Below are 26,126 nucleotides of genomic sequence, written 5' to 3'. Positions count from 1 at the left end.
AGGAACACCAATTATTAGCTTTGACCATTTAATATAATCCCAAATTTCTTGGAGGCTTTGATTATTTTCAAAAAGTCTTTTTTCTTTGTCTTTGTCTGATTGGGTTAATTTGAAAGCCTAGTCTTCGAGTTCTGAAGTTCTTTCTTCTACTTGTTCTAGTCTATTTTTAAACCTTTCCAGTGCATTTTGTATTTCTCTAAGTGTGTCTTTCATTTCCAGAAATTGTGATTGTTTTTTCTTTATGATATCTATTTCTGTGGAGAATTTTTCATCCACATCCTCTATTGTTTTTTAAAGTTTATTTAAGGTGTTTTTCACCTTTCTCTGGTATCTCTATGAATAGCTTAATAATCAAGCATCTGAATTCTTTTTCTAGCAATTCAAAGATTTCTTCTTGGTTTGGATTTATTTCTGGGGAGCTAGTGTGATCTTTCAGGGGTGTTATAGAACCCTATTTTGTCATATTAGCAGAATTACTTTTCTGGTTCCTTCTCATTTGGGTAGACTATTTCAGTGGAAAAGTCTGGAACCCAAGGCCTTCTGTTCAGATTCTTTTGCCCCACGAGCTGATCCCTTAATGTGATACTCTCTTCCTTCCCCCAGGGATGAGGCTTCCTGAAAGCCAGACAGCAGTGATTGTTACTGCTCTTCTGGGTCTAGCTACCAGGCTTTGGGCTGGTGCTGGGGAATGTCTGCAAAGAGTCCTGTGATGTTATCCATCTTCAGGTTTCCCAGCTATGCATACCAGCACCTGCTCTGCTGTGGGTGGTAGGGGAGTAAAGTAGACTCTGAAAGTCCTTGGTTGTAGATATGTTTATATCTGTGTGCTGGCTTTCTCTAATGCTGGTTATGCTACTAGTGAAGTCATGTGGACACACTCAGGACCACTGTTAGCCAGGGTGTTGCAGGCATTGAACTTAGTCATTGTTTTCTTCTTCGTGGGAGTAGGGTTATTCTGTCATGAGTCGCTATAATGGCCAAAGTTCGTTGGCCTCCAGCCAGGAGGTGGCACTTTCAAGAGAACACCAGCTTCAATAGTAGTAGAGGGATCTAAGTTTGCCCTAAGTTGGCCAGGGCAAGTATTTTGTTTTCTCAGGTGATGGGTGGGGCCATAAACCTCCCAAGAGTTTATGTCTTATGTGTTTGGCTACCAGGGCAGGTAGAGAAATACCATCAGGTGGGGGCAGGCTTAGATGGGTCTGGGCTCAGGCTCTCCTTGGGTGGGGCTTGCCATGACCACTGTCAGGGATGGGGGTGTGGTTCTCAGGCCAATGGAGTTATGCTCCAGAGGGGATTATAGCTGCCTCTGCTGTGTCATATAGTTTTCCAGAAAACTAGGAGATAGCTGGTAGTTAAAGACTTCACCCAGCTGCCACACAGTTGGTGGGTGGTCTTGCTCCTGCAGTGCCCTGCTCAGACCTTGTTCCAGGCCTTAAGTTTCTCTGCTGAGAAAGCAAGCATGGCTTTCAGGTCTTGTCCCTCCCTGTCTGCCCACAATTTCGGCAGCAGCTCCTGTGCTTGTATATGCAGCAGTTTCTGTTCACACCTCGGATTCTGCTCGAGAAAATTTGTGCCCAGTCAAAATTATTACAAATTTCATTTGGAAGCTTATTTCACCCTGTGACCTCCCCACCGCCCAGTTCAGCTGGCTGTCTTCCCCAAGGACCTCCATGAGTTATAGTCAGGGATGGCTTCCTTGGGCTCAGGCTGGAGACTGGGAGTGCCTACAGGGCTCTTCCTGCTGCTGCTTCTACTTTTAGATTTTGTGCAGGCCCCTAAATCCATTTCAGCACTAGATAAGGTTAAGTCCTTATCCTGTGATCTGGATTTTCAGATTCCCCCATGGGGATGTATGTTTGGAGGAAGGTTTTCCCCTCTCACACTTTGGGAACTTACAGTTTTTTGCCTGTCTCATGAAATTTGCTGTAGCATGCCGCTTCCTTCAAAGGATCCATGAATTCTTTCAGTTTTCCTGGTGCATTCCTGTGGTGGTTCTTGGAGCAAAACGATGTGAGTCTCCACACACTGTTCTGTTGGTCCAAGTGGGAGCTGCACATTAGCCCTGTCTCTTATTTGCCATCTTCCTCCTAATCCTCCTGAGCATAACTTTTGTGTGATCTATTTTTTTTAGTCTTGGTCTTAATTTGAGGCATCAAGTTTATTTTATTTTGTTAATACTTGGAAAACTTGGGTATTGAAGTACCTTATAAGTAATAGTGTTGCTTGCAAGGTCTGGCTAGTATTTCAGTTCTAAACTGAATAGTTCTGAGTTCTATAGTGAATAATTCTATTCACTATAGAAACCTGAGTGCAGGGAAAAAGAAAAAAAAATGAAAGAAAGAAACTAATTTGGGACTGGAGTCAGAAAATCTGGAATTGGAACTTAGCATTGCCAAATCAGAGTGACAACAGCAGCAAACACTGGTTGAGCACTTACTATATGTCAAGTGCCATTTTTCTAATTTTCTCAGACTGACTAGCTGTATGATTGTGGGAAAGTCCCATAATCTTTCTGAAATCTAGTTGTAAACTAAAATAATACTGTGTACCCATCTTATTTCATAAGGTTGTTATGTGACTCAAATGAGATATTAAGTAACACAAATAGAGCTAAAATTTACAGTTCCCTTATTATGTATCAGGTATGGTTTTAACTGCTTTACATGCATTAATTCATTTATTTTTAAAAACTATCCTACAAGTTAGACAGTTTTATTTTATAGACAAGGGAACTGAGGGAAGAAGACTGTAAGTATCTTTCCCAGGGTTAAATAGCTAGCAATGCATTCAGAGCATGCATTTGAATGAAATGATATGTTAAGATGATTTGAATATATACAACATTTCTTATTTTTCTTTTTTATTTTATTTTATTTTATTATTATTATACTTTAAGTTTTAGGGTACATGTGTACAATGTGCAGGTTAGTTACATATGTATACATGTGCCATGCTGGTGTGCTGCACCCATTAACTTGTCATTTAGCATTAGGTATATCTCCTAATGCTATCCCTCTCCCCTCACCCCACCCCACAACAGTCCCCAGAGTGTGATGTTCCCCTTCCCGTGTCCATGTGTTCTCATTGTTCAATTCCCACCTATGAGTGAGAATATGCGGTGTTTGGTTTTTTGTACTTGCGATAGTTTACTGAGAATGATGGTTTCCAATTTCATCCATGTCCCTACAAAGGACATGAACTCATCATTTTTTATGGCTGCATAGTATTCCATGGTGTATATGTGCCACATTTTCTTAATCCAGTCTATCATTGTTGGACATTTGGGTTGGTCCCAAGTCTTTGCTATTGTGAATAGTGCCGCAATAAACATACGTGTGCATGTGTCTTTATAGCAGCATGATTTATAGTCCTTTGGGTATATACCCAGTAATGGGATGGCTGGGTCAAATGGTATTTCTAGTTCTAGATCCCTGAGGAATCGCCACACTAACTTCCACAATGGTTGAACTAGTTTACAGTCCCACCAACAGTGTAAAAGTGTTCCTATTTCTCCACATCCTCTCCAGCACCTGTTGTTTCCTGACTTTTTAATGATTGCCATTCTAACTGGTGTGAGATGGTATCTCATTGCGGTTTTGATTTGCATTTCTCTGATGGCCAGTGATGGTAAGCATTTTTTCATGTGTTTTTTGGCTGCATAAATGTAAAATGCCTTCTTTTGAGAAGTGTCCATTCATGTCCTTTGCCCACTTTTTGATGGAGTTGTTTGATTTTTTCTTGTAAATTTGTTTGAGTTCATTGTAGATTCTGGATATTAGCCCTTTGTCAGATGAGTAGGTTGCGAAAATTTTCTCCCATTTTGTAGGTTGCCTGTTCAATCTGATGGTAGTTTCTTTTGCTGTGCAGAAGCTCTTTAGTTTAATTAGATCCCATTTGTCAATTTTGGCTTTTGTTGCCATTGCTTTTGGTGTTTTAGACATGAAGCCCTTGCCCATGCCTATGTCCTGAATGGTAATGCCTATGTCCTGAATGGTTTTCTTCTAGGGTTTTTATGGTTTTAGGTCTAACGTTTAAGTCTTTAACCCATCTTGAAATAATTTTTGTATAAGGTGTAAGGAAGGGATCCAGTTTCAGCTTTCTACATATGGCTAGCCAGTTTTCCCAGCACCATTTATTAAATAGGGAATCCTTTCCCCATTGCTTGTTTTTGTCAGGTTTGTCAAAAATCAGATAGTTGTAGATATGCGGCATTATTTCTGAGGGCTCTGTTCTGTTCCATTGATCTATATCTCTGTTTTGGTACCAGTATCGTGCTGTTTTGGTTACTGTAGCCTTGTAGTATAGTTTGAAGTCAGGTAGTGTGATGCCTCCAGCTTTGTTCTTTTGGCTTAGGATTGACTTGGTGATGCAGGCTCTTTTTTGGTTCCATATGAACTTTAAAGTAGTTTTTTCCAATTCTGTGAAGAAAGTCATTGGTAGCTTGATGGGGATGGCATTGAATCTATAAATTACCTTGGGCAGTATGGCCATTTTCATGATACTGATTCTTCCTACCCATGAGCATGGAATGTTCTTCCATTTGTTTGTATCCTCTTTTATTTCATTGAGCAGTGGTTTGTAGTTCTCCTTGAAGAGGTCCTTCACGTCCCTTGTAAGTTGGATTCCTAGGTATTTTATTCTCTTTGTAGCAATTGTGAATGGGAGTTCACTCATGATCTGCCTATCTGTTTGTCTATTATTGGTGTATAAGAATGCTTGTGATTTTTGTACATTGATTTTGTATCCTGAGACTTTGCTGAAGTTGCTTATCAGCTTAAGGAGATTTTGGGCTGAGACAATGGGGTTTTCTAGATATACAATCATGTCATCTACAAACAGGGACCATTTGACTTCCTCTTTTCCTAATTGAATACCCTTTATTTCCTTCTCCTGACTAATCGCCCTGGCCAGAACTTCCAACACTATGTTTGAACAGGAGTGGTGAGAGAGGGCATCCCTGTCTTGTGCCAGTTTTCAAAGGGAATGCTTCCAGTTTTTGCCCATTCAGTATGATATTGGCTGTGGGTTTGTCATAGATAGCTCTTACTATTTTGAGATACGTCCCATCACTACCTAATTTATTGAGAGTTTTTAGCATGAAGGGCTGCTGAATTTTGTTAAAGGCCTTTTCTGCATCTATTGAGATAATCATGTGGTTTTTGTCTTTGGTTCTGTTTATATGCTGGATTACATTTATTGATTTGTGTATATTGAACCAGCTTTGCATCCCAGGGATGAAGCCCACTTGATCATGGTGGATAAGCTTTTTGATGTGCTGCTGGATTCGGTTTACCAGTATTTTATTGAGGATTTTTGCATCAATGTTCATCAAGGATGTTGGTCTAAAATTCTCTTTTTTGGTTGTGTCTCTGCCCGGCTTTGGTATCAGGATGATGCTGGCCTCATAAAATGAGTTAGGGAGGATTCCCTCTTTTTCTATTGATTGGAATAGTTTCAGAAGGAATGGTACCAGTTCCTCTTTGTACCTCTGGTAGAATTCGGCTGTGAATCCATCTGGTCCTGGACTCTTTTTGGTTGGTAAGCTAATGATTATTGCCACAATTTCAGAGCCTGTTATTGGTCTATTCAGAGATTCAACTTCTTCCTGGTTTAGTCTTGGGAGGGTGTATGTGTCAAGGAATTTATCCATTTCTTCTAGATTTTCTAGTTTATTTGCATAGAGGTGTTTGTAATATTCTCTGATGGTAGTTTGTATTTCTGTGGGATCGGTGGTGATATCCCCTTTATCATTTTTTATTGTGTCAGTTTGATTCTTCTCTCTTTTTTTCTTTATTAGTCTGGCTAGCGGTCTATCAATTTTGTTGATCCTTTCAAAAAACCAGCTCCTGGAGTCATTAATTTTTTGAAGGGTTTTTTGTGTCTCTATTTCCTTCAGTTCTGCTCTGATTTTAGTTATTTCTTGCCTTCTGCTAGCTTTTGAATGTGTTTGCTCTTGCTTTTCCAGTTCTTTTAATTGTGATGTTAGGGTGTCAATTTTGGATCTTTCCTGGTTTCTCTTGTGGGCATTTAGTGCTATACATTTCCCTCTACACACTGCTTTGAATGTGTCCCAGAGATTCTGGTATGTTGTGTCTTTGTTCTCATTGGTTTCAAAGAACATCTTTATTTCTGCCTTCATTTCGTTATTTACCCGGTAGTCATTCAGGAGCAGGTTGTTCAGTTTCCATGTAGTTGAGCGGTTTTGAGTGAGTTTCTTAATCCTGAGTTCTAGTTTGATTGCACTGTGTTCTGAGAGATAGTTTGTTATAATTTCTGATCTTTTACATTTGATGAGGAGAGCTTTACTTCCAAGTATGTGGTCAATTTTGGAATAGGTGTGGTGTGGTGCTGAAAAAAATGTATATTCTGTTGATTTGGGGTGGAGAACTCTGTAGATGTCTATTCGGTCCACTTGGTGCAGAGCTGAGTTCAATTCCTGGGTATCCTTGTTAACTTTCTGTCTCGTTGATCTGTCTAATGTTGACAGTGGGGTGTCAAAGTCTCCCATTATTAAGGTGTGGGAGTCTAAGTCTCTTTGTAGGTCACTCAGGACTTGCTTTATGAATCTGGGTGCTCCTGTATTGGGTGCATATATATTTAGGATAGTTAGCTCTTCTTGTTGAATTGATCCCTTTACCATTATGTAATGGCCTTCTTTGTCTCTTTTGATCTTTGTTGGTTTAAAGTCTGTTTTATCAGAGACTAGGATTGCAACCCCTGCCTTTTTTTGTTTTTCATTTGCTTGGTAGATCTTCCTCCATCCTTTTATTTTGAGCCTATGTGTGTCTCTGCACGTGAGATGGGTTTCCTGAATACAGCACACTGATGGGTCTTGACTCTTTATCCAATTTGCCAGTCTGTGTCTTTTAATTGGAGCATTTAGTCCACTTACAATTTAAAGTTAATATTGTTATGTGTGAATTTGATCCTGTCATTATGATGTTAGTTGGTTATTTTGCTCGTTAGTTGATGCAGTTTCTTCCTAGCCTTGATGGTCTTTACAATTTGGCATGATTTTGCAGTGGCTGGTACCGGTTGTTCCTTTCCATGTTTAGTGCTTCCTTCAGGAGCTCTTTTAGGGCAGGCCTGGTGGTGACAAAATCTCTCAGCATCTGCTTATCTGTAAAGTATTTTATTTCCCCTTCACTTATGAAGCTTAGTTTGGCTGGATATGAAATTCTGAGTTGAAAATTCTTTTCTTTAAGAATGTTGAATATTGGCCCCCACTCTCTTCTGGGTTGTAGAGTTTCTGCCGAGAGATCCACTGTTAGTCTGATGGGCTTCCCTTTGTGGGTAACCCGACCTTTCTCTCTGGCTGCCCTTAACATTTTTTCCTTCATTTCAACTTTGGTGAATCTGACAATTATGTGTCTTGGAGTTGCTCTTCTTGAGGAATATCTTTGTGGCATTCTCTGTATTTCCTGAATTTGAATGTTGGCATGCCTTCCTAGATTGGGGAAGTTCTCCTGGATAATATCCTGAAGGGTGTTTTCCAACTTGATTCCATTCTCCCCGTCACTTTCAGGTACACCAATCAGATGTAGGTTTGGTCTTTTCACATAGTCCCATATTCCTTGGAGGCTTTGCTCGTTTCTTTTTATTCTTTTTTCTCTAAACTTCCCTTCTCGCTTCATTTCATTCATTTCATCTTCCATCACTGATACCCTTTCTTCCAGTTGATCGCATTGGCTCCTGAGGCTTCTGCATTCTTCATGTAGCTCTCGAGCCTTGGCTTTCAGCTCCATCAGCTCCTTTAAGCACTTCTCTGTATTGGTTATTCTAGTTATACATTCGTCTAAATTTTTTTCAAAGTTTTCAACTTCTTTGCCTTTGGTTTGAATTTCCTCCCGTAGCTCGGAGTGGTTTGATCATCTGAAGCCTTCTTCTCTCAGCTCATCAAAGTCATTCTCCATCTAGCTTTGTTCCGTTGCTGGTGAGGAGCTGCATTCCTTTGGAGGAGGAGAGGCGCTCTGCCTTTTAGAGTTTCCAGTTTTTCTGCTCTGTTTTTTCCCCATCTTTGTGATTTTATCTACTTTTGTTCTTTGATGATGGTGACGTACAGATGGGTTTTTGGTGTAGATGTCCTTTCTGTTTGTTAGTTTTCCTTCTAACAGACAGGACCCTCAGCTGCAGGTCTGTTGGAGTTTGCTAGAGGTCCACTCCAGACCGTGTGTGCCTGGGTACCAGCAGCGGTGGCTGCAGAACAGCGGGTTTTCGTGAACTGTGAATGCTGCTGTCTGATCATTCCTCTGGCAGTTTTGTCTCAGAGGAGTACCCGGCCGTGTGAGGTGTCAGTCTGCCCCTACTGCGGGGTGCCTCCCAGTTAGGCTGCTCAAGGGTCAGGGGTCAGGGACCCACTTGAGGAGGCAGTCTGCCCGTTCTCAGATCTCCAGCTGCGTGCTGGGAGAACCACTGCTCTCTTCAAAGCTGTCAGACAGGGACATTTAAGGCTGCAGAGGTTACTGCTGTCTTTTTGTTTGTCTGTGCCCTGCCCCCAGAGGTGTAGCCTAGAGATGCAGGCAGGCCTCCTTGAGCTGTGGTGGGCTCCACCCAGTTCGAGCTTCCCGCTGCTTTGTTTACCTAATCAATCCTGGGCAATGGCGGGCGCCCCTCCCTCAGCCTCGCTGCCGGCTTGCAGTTTGATCTCAGACTGCTGTGCTAGCAATCAGCGAGATTCCGTGGGCATAGAACCCTCCAAGCCAGGTGCGGGATATAATCTCGTGGTGCTCCATTTTTTAAGCCTGTCGGAAAAGCGCGGTATTAGGGTGGGAGTGACCCGATTTTCCAGGTGCCGTCTGTCACCCCTTTCTTTGACTAGGAAAGGGAACTCCCTGACCCCTTGCGCTACCCGAGCGAGGCAATGCCTCGCCCTGCTTCGTCTCGCGCACGGTGTGCTGCACCCACTGTCCTGCGCCCACTGTCTGGCACTCCCTAGTGAGATGAACCCGGTACCTCAGATGGAAATGCAGAAATCACCCGTCTTCTGTGTCGCTCAAGCTGGGAGCTGTAGACGGGAGCTGTTCCTATTCAGCCATCTTGGCGCCACCCCCCCAACATTTCTTATTTTTCAACAGAAAGATCTCAAATTCTGTAGACTGGGAAGTCTAGCATCCTTAGGAACATACCAAGAATTTGCATTCAGTAGTGCCGAAGGAACAGCAGCTCCGTGACAGTTCAACTCATAAGTGGCTCCTCTTTCCTTTCTCTTACTGTTAGGTTCCTATAATTCACTCTACGTCAATACATTATGGATTTAATGTCAATTAGAGAGCCTTCAAAGAGCAAAGTGACCTGAACACTTTGCAATGAGATGCACTTGAAAATACAAATGAAAAAATGACAAAATACACTGTTACATCAAAAATAAATGCTATGCACTAGATTTTTCCCCTCTCTACCTCCAACTTGTCCTTGTTCCTGTAAGAAGTCAAGATGTGGCTATGTTAAAAAATGGGTGGATGGGTGAACAGATATGGAGCCAACACTATCTCTTATACACAGAGGAAGCAGTGAAGGAACCTTTCACCTTGATTTTAAGCCTGACAAACAAAGGCCAATTTGGTTGTAAGGAAAAGATGAAGTCTTAGGAGAAAATGACCTTGCCTTTCATTTTCGACCTTATAATAACCATTCTGAAAAGTTGTAAAAGGGAATCCCATGTTGATTAAGATAGTGAATGGACCAAATGACTTCATTGGTTTAAGTGAGGTACACCCTGTCCTCACCTTAAATTCAGGGTGGGAAAGGCCGGACTGTCATCTTACTCTTTTCTAATCATCCATTTAGTGGATGTTATTGTTCGATGATTTGTTCGATGTTATTGCTGTTTACCATGGGGGCTGTAAAAGATGAAGCCATTTTAGTGTAGGTCACCAGAGCACACACTCTGGAGCCTACTGCTTAGATATGAATCTCAGCTCAAGTCCATGTATGAGCTGAGTGACTCTGGGCAAGTTACTCAACCTCAGTTTACTCCTCTATAATATGGGCATAATAACAATTCCTCCTTCATAGCTTTATTGTGAAGGTTAAATAGTTAACATTATGTAAAGTGATTAGAACAGTGCTTCATAATAATAATTATGTTGATATTAACTTATTAAAAATTAATATTACTTAAATTATTGTTATTATTGTTATGCATTTTATTACTTGTCTATAGACTCTGGAAACTCAAGGCCTTTCTGTCTTTTCACGCTTGAACAGGTCACTGTCTTCTACATCCTATCCTTTAGTTTTCTATCAAATTAACTTTTCCAATTAATGTCTTTCATCATTGTTTTTTTTCGGCTCACACTGTGGACTGACCTCACACTGAATAGACAATAACTCAAACACTCTTTGATTACCACTCAAGGCTCTCCATAGACTGGCCTCAACTGTATTCTCCAAACTTTTTAGTAGGGAAGATGAAGTCGCTTTGGTTTCTCAGTCCATTTTCAGAGACAGCAGCACCATCTACTGGACGATCTTTATTCTAAGTAACTGAGCATTCACATTCTCGACTGTTAGAACTTGAAAGAGCGAGAAAGCAGAGGTGGATGTTGGTGTTGTCTTTGGTTCATTTGTTCTAAGATCACATTCCAAGGCTGAATACATGAAAGACCATGAAAGAGTTAAGGGAATGCCAGGTACAGTATTTCATGTTGAAAGACTTTGAAATCATGATTTTAGAATGTAAAGGGAACTTAGAAGACAATGGTAAAGCAGCAACAGTTAGAGTAACGCTGTATGTTTATGTATCGCTGAAAAGTTTTTAAAGAACTCTCACATGATTTGACCCTCAAAGTAGCCCTGAAAAATAGACAACACAGATCTTATTATCTCCATTTTAAATGAAAGGAGAGTTAGGCAAAGGAAGGCTAAATTAGGTGCTTTAGGTTTCACACCAGGAATTGTGACTCAGTGTTGTGGACTTTCCATTACACTATACTTACCTGCTCCGGACTCTCATTCTATAGATGGGAAAACTGACTCCTGAAGAATCTAAGCAACATCTCTCAAATCCAATGGTAAGTTGTAGTAGTATCAGAACAAGAGTCTCCTGATTAACAATTGGCACTCATTGACAATTCTACTTCTTCACTTTCTTATAAAATTTGTATAAATTTAAAGGGTATAGGTGCAGTTTTTTTTTTTAACATGGATATATTACACAATGGTAAAGTCTCAGCTTTTAGTGTAACCATCACCCAAATAACCTACGTCATGCCCATCAAGTAATTAATTTCTCATTCCTCACCCCTCCCACCTCTCCACCCTTTTGAGTCTCCAGTGACTATTATTGCACACTCTACGTCCATGTGTACATGTTATTTAGCACCCACTTTTAAGTGAGAACATGCGGTATTTGGCTTTGTTTCTGAGATGTTTTTACTTACGGTAATGACCTCTAGGTCCATCCATGTTGCAGCAAAAGATGTGATTTCGTTCTCTTTTATGGCAGTGTATATTCTTTTGTGTATATATGCTACATTTTCTTTATCCAATCCTCTGTCGATGGACACTTAAGTTGAATTCATGTCTTTGCTATTATGCCCCACTTTGCCCTAACCCCAATAATGACAACACCATCAGTGAAAAATAGAGAGGTGATGATGAAACTCTCATTGGAATTATTGCTCTGAATTGTGAACATAGGCAGGTGAAGCATGAAAAGGTGAAGCATGAAAATAAATTGATTCTGATACCTGCCATTGGTACAGTCACTCCAGGGTAGAGCCTGGTCCTGAGATTGAAGAAAGAGGCTGGGTAAGATGGCTCATGCCTGTAATCCCAGCACTTCGGGAGGCTGAAGTGGGAGGACTACTTGAACCCAGGAGTTGGAGACCAGTTTGGGCAACATAGCGAGACCACATCTCTACAAAAAATAAAAAAATTAGCCAGGCAGGGTGGCGCATGTCTGTAGTCCCAGCTACTCGGGATTCTGAAGTGGAAGGATCACCTGAGTCCAAGAAGTTGAGGCCCCAGTGGGCTGTGATTGTGCCCCTGCACTCAGCCAGGGTATCAGAGCAAGACCCTGCTTCCTGAAACCACCCTCCCGACCACAGCCCCCCAAAAGAAGGAGGTGGTGAGAGGAAGGGACTGTACCTTGAACCTCAGATGGACTCTCCAGATTTTCCCAGGCTTGGCTCTGAGCCACATTCTCAGGACACCAGGTTAAGGAGGCCACTTGAGCAGGGCTACTCCACAGCTACCTTCTGACCTCTGGCTCTGGGCAGGTCCTTGCCTCTTTCTGCAGGAAATGGGGCAGGTCGCTATGGGGGCTGTGGGTTTTTACAACACATCCTTTGCCAGGTCTAAGACCTTTTCCTGAGCAGCTCTCACAGTTTGAGCTCTGGCACTAAACACACTGGTGGAGTGAGAATGTCTTATTTCCTGGTCTCAATTCCTACTTTTGGGAGTTTTAATGAAGATTTGATCATTCTCTAAGGGCTGAATCCTGGCACAAGAGTTTCCTGGAAATATAAAAATGTCACCTGGGCTTGCTTGCACTTAGGTAACCCTTGCTGGTACAACTTTGAAAGAAACCAGGAGACCCTTTTAGTTAAATATTTAAAACGATTTAATTGTCAAGCCTTCACAAACTCTATTGGTTCTTTTGCAGTTGATTAAATTTTCTAGGACCACACTTTCTAGAGCAATCATTGTTTCATAAAACCAATTTAAAAATGAGTGTTCAGCTAGATTCCAAATTTAGCACTATGTACATTCACCAAATTTCTGTCATTGCCAGGAATTACTGGACTCCTTTTTCTTGTTGGGTGGACAGCTGGAGTTTTCAAATTACACTGTATAGTTTGCTCTGCCTTTTTTTTTTTTAATCTAAGAAGAAAACTTTTTCTTTTTCTTGCTGCATAAACAGTAGTGGTTTCAAATGTCAAAATCTGAACTCTAGATCCTTGCATGAAGCTTACTTCCCATGCTACCTGTGTCCTGTGTCCTTCAAGATGGTGTGTTGAAGTGAAGCGAGGACACACAGTGGAGGAAGCTGTGGACATAAGGTTAAGATGTTACCCAAGATACAGGTCAAGCTGAAAGAGGATGGGGTAAGCGAGAAAAGATGGTTAGAAGGTAAATTTGTTGGTTGGGCGCTGTGGCTCACGCCTGTAATCCCAGCACTTTGGGATGCCAAGGCGGGCAGATCACGAGGCCAGGAGATCAAGACCATCCCGGCCAACAGGTGAAACCCCATCTCTACAAAAATACAAAAAAATTATCTGAGCATTGTGGCATGTGCCTGCAGTCCCAGCTACTTGGGAGGCTGAGGCAGGGGAATCGCTTGAACCTGGGAGGCAGAGGTTGCAGTGAGAAGAGATTGCGCCACTGCACTCCAGCCTGGCGACAGAGCAAGACTCCGTCTCAAGAAGAAAAAAAAAAAGAAGGTAAATTTCTAAATTTCTTTCCTCCTATTTGTCATATCTTCTCCTAGGACACCAAAAGGGCCTCAGGTAGAAAAAGTTCAGAGATTATAAACTGAGCACAATTGATGAGGTCAATTGACTATAGAAACAATGCAAAGCAGCATCATTCATCTGGGGTAATACCCGAGGTTCAGTGTCCCACGCCAAAGAAATCAAAGATACGGACACACGAGCAGTGAGGTTAAGAGCAGAGGTTTAATAGGTGAAAGAAAGAGAAGAGCTCTCTCCTGCAGAGAGAGGGGTCCCGAGCAGGTTTTCTGGTCCATTGTGAAATACATCAGGTTTTATAGATGAGCTTGAGGAGGTGGTATTGGATTTACATAGGGCACAAAAGATTGGTTGGACCAGGTGTGTCATTTGCATAGGGTGCGAAAAACTGGTTAGGGCTAGATGTGCCATTTGCATAGGGCATGAAAAAGCTGGCCACCCCACCCTAATCTTTTATTATGCAGATGGGTTCTCTATCTGGCTGATGCCATGTTGCCTGTTTCCTTACTGTACACGTGGTGACAAAGAAAAGGGAAGATAGAGCCTCCATGTGGAACATGCCTGGCTCTCAGGTAGCCCTTTCCTATTGGCACAGCTGCCAGCATTCACCTGTGCAAGCTTCTAGCTTGCTTGTATCTATGTCTGCAGCTCGATTTTTCAGGCAGTTGTTAGAAAAGAAACGAGTTTGAGGCTGTTTTTCATTAAAAGGGAAATTCTGCTGAGGACTCTCTTACCCATACTATCTGCCTAAATAACTTCTTTCTATCTCTTGTAGCAAATGGATTTTTCAGATGGAGCTCTTTTCCTCTTTGGAGGGAGGGCTTAGCCTGGGGAGGACAGCTAGGTGCCAAAGAGAAAAGAAGCACATTTAACGGAGGCACATTTGACATCCAAGAAACACTGAAATATGGTTTAAATCTTTATAAAAATTTCTATAAAATGTGCAAAGGAATGATTACATTGTTTGACACAGCAAAACATTGTAATATTCTTAATCAGTGGCTCAGCTATCACAAATCTCATCTTCAAGGCAGTTTCTAAGTTGACCAGGTAATTTGTAGTCCAAATGGGGACACTTTTGGGTGCAAAGAGCATGCGATTTATAATTTCACTGGGCACAGGCATACACCAGGCCTGTCCTTGCACACTCCTTTTTCATCTAGTTCTCTCAATTCTGGCATGCACTGCATCACCTATGTTCATGTTTTTCTCCCAACTAACTCATCTGTGGGATTTATTCTGTTTTCCCAGAGGATCTAGAATGTAAATTACTGCTTTGGTCCTTACTGAGATCAGCACAACAAAAACCCAGTGGGTGTTCAAGCCTCATCTCTCACCACCATGCCTCTCTCGCTTATGGTTTAAAAGGAAGTTTCTTGGTCTAGAGCCAGTGCCACCCCAGGAGCAATGAGCACGCTGAACACTCAGATCTTGCTTTTTCTAAAGATTGTTTTTCAGTGAAAGGGGCCAGGGCTTTTTGGAGACATGGCTGATTCTAGGGCAAGAGTGCGAAAAATACAAGATGAGCCTGGAGAGTCTTGTAGTGTCAGGAAATAAGGAAGTGCTCAGAAAGTAAAAGCATGTAGGCATGCATGGGACAGACATACTAACCTGAAAGAGCTCCTGGGGGCCAAAACTGGAAGAATTTAAACAGTAATTTTTTTTTAAATGTAGCATTGAATTATAACACAAGTATAAAATAAATGTACATAAGCCTATGTTGCTATACATAAATAATTGAATAATCAAATTAATGAAGGATGAGCAATAAATTTTCATTACAGAAGAATTTCAGATAGTATGTGTGTATAATCTACCCTCTCCTCACTCTCCAAAAGTGTGAACTGGACATAGTGACTGATTTCCAGTGAGTAGATATAGAAAGGGGAAAATAGTAACTTTACAGTGGAGAAAACTGGCAAACACTACTTTAACCAAAATGATCAAGTTTAACATCACCAGTAATAAGTCATGTTGCTACCACACTACTTCCTGTTTTGCTATGATGACGAGAGGACCTCATCTCTGTGGTATTCTTTTCCAGATCCCATAATCCATGTTGAATCATGATGAAAACATATGATGAACCTGTATTGAGGTATATTCTAAAAATTACCTGACCAGTACTTCTCAGAACTTTTGAGGTCATGAAATACAAGGCAAGACTGAACAACTGTGAGAGTAGAGTAGACTAAGATGACACGAGGACAAAATGCAACATGGCATACTGCCTTGGATCCTGGAGCAGAGAAAGGGCCTTAGTGGAAAAAGTGGTAAACCTTAATAAAGTCTGGAGTGTAGTTAATAGTAATGTACCACTGCTGGTTACTTAGTTTTGAGAACAGTGCCATGGTAATGTAAAATGGTTATAGTGGGAGAAGTTGGGTAAGGGGTATATGTGAGCTCTCTACCATCTTTGTAACTTTTCTATAAATATAAAATTATTCCAAAATAAAAAGTTCATTTTTTTTGAAAAAAAGAACATAGTTTCCAGCTTCATCCATGTCCCTGCAAAGGACATGAACCCGTCTTTTTTTATGGCTGCATAGTATTCCATGTTGTATACGTGCCACATTTTCTTTATCCAGTCTATCATGGATAGGCATTTGGGTTGGTTCCAAGTCTTTGTTATTGTGAACAGTGCTGCAGTAAACATACGTGTGCATGTGTCTTTATAGTAGAATGATTTATAATCCTTTGGGTATATACCCAGTAATCTGATTGCTGGGTCAAAAGGTATTTCTGGTTTAGATCCTTGAGGAATCGCCACACTGTCTTCCACAATGGTTGAACTAATTTACACTCCCACCAACAGTGTAAAAGCATTCCTATTTCTCCACATCCTCTCCAGCATCTGTTGTTTCCTGACCTTTTAATGATCGCCATTCTAACTGGCATGTGATGGTATCTCACTGTGGTTTTGAATTGCATTTCTCTAATGACCAGTGATGATGAGCTTTTTTTCATATGTTTGTTGGCCGCATAAATGTCTTCTTTTGAGAAATGTCTGTTCATATCCTTCACCCACTTTTTTATGGGGTTGTTTGTTTTTTTCTTGTAAATTCAATTAAGTTCCTTGTAGATTCTGAATATTAGCCCATTGTCAAATGGATAGATCGCAAAAATTTTCTCTCCCATTCTGTAGGTTGTCTGTTCACTCTGATGATAGTTACTTTTGCTGTGCAGAAGCTCTTTAGTTTAATTAGATCCCATTTGTCAATTTTTGCTTTTGTTGCCATTGCTTTTGGTGTTTTAGTCATGAAGTCTTTGCCCATGCCTATGTCCTGAATGGTATTGCCCAGGTTTTCTTCTAGGGTTTTTATGGTTTTAGGCCTATCTGGGGTTGGGGGTAGGGGAGGGATAGCATTAGGAGAAATACCTAATGTAGATGACGGGTTGATGGGTGCAGCAAACCACCATGGCATGTGTGCAGCTATGTAACAAACCTGCACGTTCTGCACATGTATCCCAGAGCTTAAAGTATAATAATAATAACAATAATAATAATAATAATAAACAGGACATAGCAACTAGCTTAAAGAGGTTTTATTTACCAAATCTGGACCAATTTTAGCATAAAATTGGGATTATAAACCAATAAATTCAGTTAAGGTTTATGAGTTTGTACTAAGGTAAATGAATGAATGGGTGAATAAATAAATAAATTGGAGGGACAAAAATGTTTCTCCTTACATTGTATTGCCAATTCATAAATGTAGAAGGGACAGTGAATTTAGAAAATTATCAATGGATGCCAAAACTAGTGATTGAAAGTTTGATGATTGAACAGTTACTTGCATAACCTTAAGGTATTTACCTGCAAAGGAAGTACGGGGGAGAAAGCAGGAACGTACTTATGGTTGAAGAACATTGTCAGATGTTCATAAAGAATCACCATTAATATGACGAAAAATAGACAAACTAGCGTTGTGTGCTTCTGGAAAGGAAGCACTGAGGGCACCACATCTCTTTCATGGTTTTTCTGCCCTCCAGAAGGCATTACCTGAATCCTAATCATGGAGAAATATCAGAAAAATTCAGACTGGGAAGCCTTCTCCAAAATAACTGGTTTATATTTTTTTAAATAAATATTCAGGCTAAGAAACAAAAAAATTGGCTAAGGAATCATTTCAGATTAAACGGGAACAAAGAGCCATAACAGATAAATACACGATGTGATATAGAACTGGATCTTGCACTGGGGTAGGTGGGAGCTATTAAAGGACATTATTGGGACAATCAATTACATATGACTATCAACTGGGGATTAGATAATAGTATCCTATCAGTGCTAATTTTCTTGATTTTGATAATTGTGCTGAGATTATGTAAGGCCACGTGTTTTTATAAAATACACACACAAGTATTTTATTTAAAAAAGAGATACTTCTTGCTGCTTTGTGGAGAAAGGACTGCAGAGGAGATAAGAAGGAAGCAGGAAGCCATTAGGAGGCTATTTAATACTACGAGCAAGAGACAAATGAGGCCTGGTGTGGTGGCTTATGCCTGTAATCCCAGCGCTTTGGGAGGCTGGGGCAGAAAGATCCATTGAGGCCAGGAGTTCAAGACCAGCCCAGGCAATATTGTGAGACCTAGTCTCTACACACAAAAAATAAAAATATTAGCTGGGCATGGTGGCACGCCCCGTAGTCCTAGCTACTCAGGAAGATTGCTTGAGCCTGGAAGTTTGAGGTTGCAGTGAACTATGATTGCACCACTGCACTCCAGCCGTGGTGACAGAGTGAGACCCTGCTCCTAAAAAATAAAAAAAAAAATTAAAAAGATGATGCTTTTTTGTAGTTGGTGGTACTTGTAGAAATGGTGAGAAAAGGCTGGTTCTATTTGGAAAGTAAAACCAAAAGGGTTTGCTGATGGATGGGCTGTGGATGACTGGGAAAAAGAGACAAGGATTTCAGCCTGAGCAACTGGGAGAATGGAGGCGGGAAGGGGCTGTCACTTAACTGAAAGGGGAAGATCCTGAGAGGAGCATATTTTGGGGGTGGGGGAAGATCAGGATTTCAGTTATTACACATTGTAACTCATTGCTTTCTCTCAAGTGTAGCTCTGATAATCCCATTTCCCTGGCTGATAATTTCATTTCTTCAGTAGTTGAGATGTTACCACCAAAGGACTTGGCATTCGAGGTCTTTCTCAGCTTGGTCCCATAACACTTTATAAAGGCAGTATTTGCTCCCCTCCTCAGTGTTCCTTTTGTTTCAGTCTAATTGAAAGACTTGTGATTGTTAACTTTTTTCCTGTTGGTGTTTCCCAAAATAGGGTCTGTATATAGTTGTTGATCTGAATAATTGCTACAAATTGTACTGGCAGAAATATTTTTCTTTTGATAGTTACACACTGATCTTAATGTATATTAGAAAATGACAACACTAGTTCATCAAACCTGTGATAACATTAGTATTATCATTAGTACAAATCTTGAGTATTATCATTAGTATTATCATTAGTACAAATCTTGGTAAAATAGTGGATCGGTTTAAAGTCAATAGAAAGAAAAATATTGTATAAGATATTACAAAATAATAATATGAAGGTGGAACATGAAAACCTGGAGCTGGATAAATACTGTACTGTTAGGGGATAATTTTTTAAAATATGTTTCATTTTATAAAATTTAAATATACCAAAAATAGAGAGAATAAACCTGTCATTCAGCTTAGAGTTGCCTCATGTCTAGGTTGAAGGTCCCTCTGGCTCACCAGTCTATTCCAGCTTAGTCAACCAGGAGAACCCACAGGAATTCAGTGCCCCTAAGCCCCTGTTTAAAAATGAAGGGCTTTTGAATAGCCAAGGCAATTCTAAGCAAAAAGAACAAAGCTGGAGGCATCACGTCACCTGACTTCAGACTACATACTACAGGGCTACAGTAACCAAAACAGCATGGTACTGGTACAAAAACAGACACATAGACCAATGGAACAGAATAGAGAGCCCAGAAATAAGGCTGCACATCTAGGACCATCTGATCTTCAACAAGGCTGACAAAAATAAACAATAAGGAGAGGACTCCTACTCAATAAATAGTACTGGGATAACTGACTAGCCATATGTGGAAGATTGAAACTGGACCCCTTCCTCATACATACCACATGCAAAAATCAATGCAAGGTGGATTAAAGACTTCAGTGTAAGACCTCAAACTATAAAAACCCTGGAAGACAATCTAGGCAATACAATCCTGGACACAGGAATGGGCAAAGGTTTCATGACAAAGATGCCAAAAGCAATCACAACAAAAGCGAAAATTGACAAATGGGATCTAATTAAACTAAAGAGCTTCTGCACAGCAAAAGAAACTATCAATTAGCAGAATAAACAGCCTACAGAATGGGATAAAATATTTGCAACTACGCGTCTGACAAAGGTCTAATATCCAGCATCTATAAGGAACTTAAAGAAATTTACAAGAAAAAACAAATAACCCCATTAAAAAGTGGGCAAAAGACATGAAAAGACACTTTTCTAAAGAAGACCTACATGTGGTCAACAAACATATGAAAAACAATATCACTGATCATTAGAGAAATTCAAGTGGCAAAACCACAATGAGATAACATCGCACACCAGTCAGAATATCTATTATTAAAAAGTCAAAAAATAACAGATGCTGGTGAGGTTGTAGAGAAAAGGGAACACTTACACACTGTTAGTGGGAGTGTAAATTGACTCAACCATTGTGGAAAGCAGTATGGTGATTCCTCAAAGAGTTAAAAACAAAACTACTATTAGACCCAGCAATCCCATTACTGGCTATATACTCAGAGGAATATAAATCATTCTACCATAAAGATACACGCATGTGAATATTTATTGCGGCACTGTTTACCATAGCAAAGACATGGAATCAACCTAAATGCCCATCGATGACAGATTGGATAATGAAAATGTGGTACGTATACACCATAGAACACTCTGCAGTTATGAAAAACAACAAGATCATGTCTTTCATGTGAACATGGTTGGAGCTGGAGGCCATTATCCTTAGCAAACTAACAGACACAGGAAACCAAATACTGCATGTTCTTACTTATAAGCGGGAGCTAAATGATGAGAAGTCATGAACACAAAGAAGAGAACAGCAGATACTGGGGCCCACTTGAGGGTGGAGGGTGGGAGAAGGGTAGGAGGTGGGGGGAGCAGCAGAAAAAGTAACTATTGGGTACTAGGCTTAGTACCTGGGTGATGAAGTAATCTGTACAACAAACTCCCATGACACGAGTTTACCTGCATATCAAACCTGTACATGTACACCCAAACCTAAAAGAAAGTAAACAAATAAAAATGAAAGGCTTCGAAGCCAGGAGTGGTGGCTTACGCCCATAATCCCAGCACTTTGGGAGGCCGAGGCAGGAGAATCCTGTGAGGCCAGGTGTTTGAGACCAGCCTGGACAACATATTGAGACACTGTCTCTCCAAAAAAAAAAATTAGCCAGGCATGGTGGTATGCACCTGCAGTCCCAGCTACTGGGGAGGCTGAGATGGGGGGATTACTTGAGCCTGGGAGTTCAATGATGCAGTGAGCTATGATTGAGCCACTGCATTCCAGCCTGGGTGACAGAGTGAGACCCTCTCTCTAAAAATAATAATAATAATAAATAAAAATTAAAAAAAGAAGAGCCTTAAATACTCACCAAAGAATATGAACTTGATCATATAATAATGGGACATTACGGTGAAATTATTTGAATAGAGAAATGACGAAAGGGTTACATTTCAGTTTAGAAAGGACTTAGTGATAGAGTAGTATCATAACATATAATGGCTGAGATGGTGGTTGTAAATCTGGGGTATTAATTTAAATGGCACTGATTATTAAGAGCCATATTTTGCTATAATGCAACCATGGGTCCAATCAGAACTTACCAGGGGAAATGCTCACTACCTCTTTACTATGGTGGACACACTGGGGAGAACACTGGGTGTGGAGTCAGGCAGCTTCAAGCTGGTAAGACACCATATCCATATTTTGCTATTTTCTAGCTATATGGCCATGGGGAAGTCATTCTAATTCAATGAGTTTTTCTTTAATTTTCTAAGCATGGTGTTTTCTTTTCTTTTTTTTTAATTTTTAATTTAATTTTATTATTATTATACTTTAAGTTTTAGGGTACATGTGCACAATGTGCAGGTTAGTTACATATGTATACATGTGCCAAGCATGGTGTTTTCTATACACATCTATTGAGATAATAATAGTTGTTGTAACGATGGCAATATTCTAGAAGCATTCTGCTCTCTGCAGATGCACTACTTTGGTGATTTAGTATTCTTTTATAGTGACTCCAACCCCCAACTCCCTGCCTCAAGCCTATGTTTTTTTACTTTGGTGGGTGAGAAGATAGAGATAACTGTGGGGATGTACTTTATCATCAATGAAAGAAGGGATAAATAACAGAAATTTAAACCTTTGTTCTGTGAGCCTCTTGCTTCAAGGGAATCAGCAGGTTACCCTCTGTGGGTTCCTGTTATGCATTTGGAAAGAAAGAAAGCCTGATGAGGGAGGGGATGACATTGTTGAAGTTTCTCTTTTTAGCTGGCAAAAATAACACATTTAAAGGTATAGCAATAATTCTCCTGCCATGTTTCTCACAGAGAAGCAGTGGGATCTTGTTGGGAATATTACGTCTTTGGAAAGGGAGAACTTCCTCAATCAGAGGACATAAAACAGTAATGAGAATAAACATTTGGTAAATTTAGGAAATCAACTTCAGCTTGGGAATCCCAAAAGGGAGCTCGTTTTGTGGGGTGGAAAGATATTTTTCCAGGGCTGACCCTTAGTAAAAGGAAACTTATGATTTTAAGTTTAAAAGCTCCAAAGGACTAATTCAAAGTGGAGAAGGGAAAGTTATTTTCATGAGAATTCCTGCTAAGACATTTGCGTACTGTAAACCAATTGCCTGTTGGCTAATAGGATTTGAAGTTTTGAATCTGTGCACTTTTTTTCAATTTCTGTGGAATGGATGAAAGCAGGGAAAGGGACTTAGATAGACCTAGGTGTGAAGCGAAGCATTTTCATCTTAGATCAATTACTGAACCATTCAAACTCTAGCTTCCTAATCACTAAATGAAGATAATAAAATCTACACCTCGGATTTGTTGTGAGAATTAAATGAGATATCTGTTAAGGGTTCAGCAGGGTGCCTGCATGTTGAAGTGCTTCATAAATGGGAGCTATTGTTGTTTTCATCTGAATCAGCTGGCCTCTCCCCACCTCTCTGGCCTTCTCCCTCATGTATTTGAAACCTACTGGATGGGCCTCTAATGAGCAGGCTATCTTTATGGTTAGATGCTTCTATGGGGAAAGAAATGTAAAAAAGCAAATTTTTAAAAAGTAAACTAAGGAGTAGCGCATGACATCATTCGTAATAAAACAGAGTTAAGGAGTCCAACTGGAAAGGTTTATGACTTTGTAGTAACTTTGTGTGTGTGTGTGTGTGAATATACCAGTGAGATTAGGGTGGGTCAAAGACATTTATATTTTGTAGAAGGGAGTGATTTCACTTTTCCTTTGTGTATGATGTCCATGAAGCTAATTATAGCTGAGATTTATAACAGCTGATCAATTTGGTGAAATGGAAAGACACTCAAAAGAATTAAAGAGTAAAAATGTTATTATTTAGCATTCTTTCATCAGATAATCTTTAACTGCTCCTGCCAACCTGGTATATGAGAGTTGGTTTTTCCAAAGGTAATTCTGAGGCCCTTGATGATAACATTTTTGTTTTCTATTGTGATCAGTGAAAATCTTACCTCTCCAACAAATTGCTTTGTACTTCAGGACAAAGATTGTCTCCTTTACTTCTTTTTTTTTTTTTTTTTTTTTTTAATATTCCATGGTGATATGGTTTGGCTGTGTCCCCAGCCAAATCTCAACTTGAATTGTATTTCCCAGAATTCCCACATGTTGTGGGAGGGACCAAAGGAGAGGTAATTGAATCAGGGGATTGGTCTTTCCTATGCTATTCTCGTGATAGTAAGACTCATGAGATCTGATGGGTTTATCAGGGGTTTCTGCTTTTGCTTCTTCCTCATTTTCTCTTTCCACTGCCATGTAAGAAGTGCCTTTCTCCTCCCACCATGATTCTGAGACCTCCTCAGCCATGTGGAGCTGTAAGCCCAATTAAACCCCTTTTTGTCCCCAGTTTCAGGTATGTCTTTATCAGCAGCATGAAAATGAACTAATAATATGGTAATTAGATTATTTAATAATTACTCATTTACTTTGTCTTGTGAGTCTTGAATGATCAAAACTAGTTTAAAATAAGGTCATGGAACTTTTAGTGTTAATCCTTTTTTACATGTTCTTTGAACATAACTATTTAAAAATTGGCAATCTGTGTATTTACTAACCAGAACAGTCCATTCTCAAGTCCTGCCATGTAACAGGGAGTTCCCTGCGTTCTTTTTATTGTTATGGCCCATATGAGACCTGATGAGTAAATGGGATCTGTCCTCATACACATCTTAGCATTTGGATTTACACAGATTCTGAAATGCAGAATTAATACTTAATGTTAAATTCTGATGTCGAAATATGTGCCCACTGAGAATTCTACTGGGTTTGTTTATAGAAAATAAATATTAATTTTGTTAAATTGAATGCATTTGCATTTCTTTCCCCAAATTACCATCAGCTTGCTTAACAAAAGACATGCAGAGGCAAATCCCTCAGTTAGTGACTTTTCTATTTTCCCTGGGATGCTTTTCATAGACGCTTGTGTGTGTGTATGCACGTGTGTGTGTGTGTATGTGTGCATGTGCGTGCTATTTATACATATATATAATTTTTTTTTGTATCACTTTACAGTGTCACTTGAAATGAGGGAGCTCTTATTGATATATTCCTTTTGGCTAGTTTTCATTGCATTGTCTGTATAGGTGACCGACTTGATGGGACAATTCTTCAAACACACACAAGATGCTATATAAGGCCAAGGCTTGAGTGACTTGACTTATAAAGTAGAACAAGTCACTTTTACATTCAGGCCATTAGTTACTTACATAGACAGCAAAAGGAAAAGTAGCTGAAGATACTCAGCTCCCTGAGGTCCTTATCCTACACACCAGAAAGGAACGACACAGAAACAAAAGGGACTGGACAATGGCAACACAACTTAAGGGATTCCCCTTTGCTAAGGAGCCAATTCTAAGCTACAGTACAATGGATTTATATCCTGCATCTCTGCTTTTAGGGAGGCAGCCCCAAATTCTTCATACCTCATCAGAACCTCTGAGGCAATGAGAAACAACCTTGTGACAGCCCCCAGAAGAGAGAGGGAGGTGGGTGGGTCTCACAGCAGCTCATCACGAGCCTCTCCTGAGCTCATGTTTAGGGAGGACTGTGAGACATTCATTGAAGACATACATGAGCTGCAGTCCAAGCCTTTGCCTGCATGTCCCATCCAGACACGTGCAAGGCCACCAGGGCACCATAGTGGAGCCATCTCTTACACCATCCTTCTGAAGCATCCATCTCCTACGATGGTCAAGTGAGATAGACTACAGCAGGATCTCTCACTCCATTTTGAAGACTGACTTATCTTGCTTGCCCAAATTTCTTGTAGCTGCTTGAAATCCACAGAGAAGTTTTCTTATGGGCAGATTTCAGTTACTAAGATAGCTTAGGCCCACTCCATCACACGTTACACTTGACTCCAAGAGGATGCCCAATGTATTAAGAAAGTAAAGCACTTTCTGAGTGCTTTGGTGCAGATTTTGCCGTACAAGGCTTTAGTTGGTGACCTCAGACTAGTGGTTAAGAACTTAGACTCTGCAGTTGGATGGTTCTGCCACTTACTAGGAGGGTGAACTTGAGCCAGATATTTAACCTCTGTAAGTCTCCATTCTCTAATCCACAGAATGAAGACAACAGCACAAGAAACTTGTATGAAGCAGTGCAGGTAACGTGCTCAGAATGGTGTCTGAAACAGGGTAATACCCAATAAACGTAGCCCTATATGTTATTGGGAATCTATTGGCGCTGAGCTCTTTACTGAGCACATGGCACTGGGGAGAAAGACAAGGGAAAAGAAACCCAAACATTGTTAACTTACCATATAGTTGAATGAACTGAACATGGACAGTCATAAAATAGCCTACCGATGAATATCAACCACGGTCTTTGCAAAGGAGAAATCAGTAGTCATAAAATTCATCCTTTGGTTGAACTATGTTTGATTACAGTTCTAAGTTGGCCCAGTGACTTGTGGATAAAGGCAGAGAGCAGTGGGTCACTCCGTAAAGGCCACCACCAGAGTGCTGTCCATAGAGTCTCTTTGTATAATGGTCTTGGCCAGGCATTGCTCGCTTACCTCCATTTTCCTTTCACAGTCCAGCCTGAGGAATGCCTGCTCAACTGGTTTGATCATTTTGACTGAAACAAGCGGTCATTTCATGTCCTATGGGATGCTTGCTGAGGACATTAAACACAGGTGTGTGGGGATAGGGGGTGAAAGCACAGCTATTTTCCAATTAGGAGCCCCTTGGTTCCCTGAAATCCAATCACATGGAGTGAACCAGACGCCCCTGTCTGGAGCTCTGTGTTCAACTCAGGATCCAACTCTCAGTGGAAAATTAAAAACAAAGTCATTATTATATATTAGATTTATTAAAAATGCAACTATTACCAAGAGCCTGTGGGCATGTGTGGAAAATGCTGTAATTAAATTAAATTAAATTAAAGCCAGCAGTTAGAAG

At 40.3% G+C, this 26,126-nt stretch overlaps 1 long non-coding RNA gene across 4 annotated transcripts in view, besides 4 other annotated features; it reads left to right on the top strand.

Moving 5' to 3' along the window:
* The window catches only part of LOC105372926 (uncharacterized), a 198,874-nt gene that overhangs the window by 35,918 nt on the left and 136,830 nt on the right, over positions 1-26,126 (top strand). For 2 of the 4 annotated variants that reach the window (XR_001738473.2, XR_922612.2), the window contains exon 1: positions 24,628-25,861. This is a non-coding gene — a long non-coding RNA (uncharacterized LOC105372926). Of the gene's footprint in view, positions 1-24,627; positions 25,862-26,126 lie in introns of those variants that run through there. The other 2 variants (XR_001738475.1, XR_001738474.1) reach the window with 2 other exon arrangements.
* Positions 8,603-9,346: an enhancer, noted in NCBI's record as "NANOG-H3K27ac-H3K4me1 hESC enhancer chr1:220012377-220013120 (GRCh37/hg19 assembly coordinates)". NCBI's record gives its function as "activates a minimal SCP1, AML or CMV promoter by ChIP-STARR-seq in primed H9 embryonic stem cells {active_cell/tissue: H9 hESC(primed)}" and the evidence as "EXISTENCE:reporter gene assay evidence [ECO:0000049][PMID:30033119]".
* Positions 12,768-12,968: a silencer, noted in NCBI's record as "peak704 fragment used in MPRA reporter construct". NCBI's record gives its function as "represses an SCP1 promoter by STARR-seq MPRAs in K562 erythroleukemia cells {active_cell/tissue: K562}" and the evidence as "EXISTENCE:reporter gene assay evidence [ECO:0000049][PMID:32103011]".
* Positions 14,442-15,387: an enhancer, noted in NCBI's record as "NANOG-H3K27ac hESC enhancer chr1:220006336-220007281 (GRCh37/hg19 assembly coordinates)". NCBI's record gives its function as "activates a minimal SCP1, AML or CMV promoter by ChIP-STARR-seq in primed H9 embryonic stem cells {active_cell/tissue: H9 hESC(primed)}" and the evidence as "EXISTENCE:reporter gene assay evidence [ECO:0000049][PMID:30033119]".
* Positions 21,582-22,146: an enhancer, noted in NCBI's record as "NANOG hESC enhancer chr1:219999577-220000141 (GRCh37/hg19 assembly coordinates)". NCBI's record gives its function as "activates a minimal SCP1, AML or CMV promoter by ChIP-STARR-seq in naive H9 embryonic stem cells {active_cell/tissue: H9 hESC(naive)}" and the evidence as "EXISTENCE:reporter gene assay evidence [ECO:0000049][PMID:30033119]".

This window comes from Homo sapiens, chromosome 1, assembly GCF_000001405.40.
Source record: "Homo sapiens chromosome 1, GRCh38.p14 Primary Assembly".
In the NCBI taxonomy this organism is placed as follows: domain Eukaryota; kingdom Metazoa; phylum Chordata; class Mammalia; order Primates; family Hominidae; genus Homo; species Homo sapiens.
The sequence above is the reverse complement of the archived record's forward strand: the minus strand, read 5'-3'. Positions and strand labels throughout refer to the sequence as shown.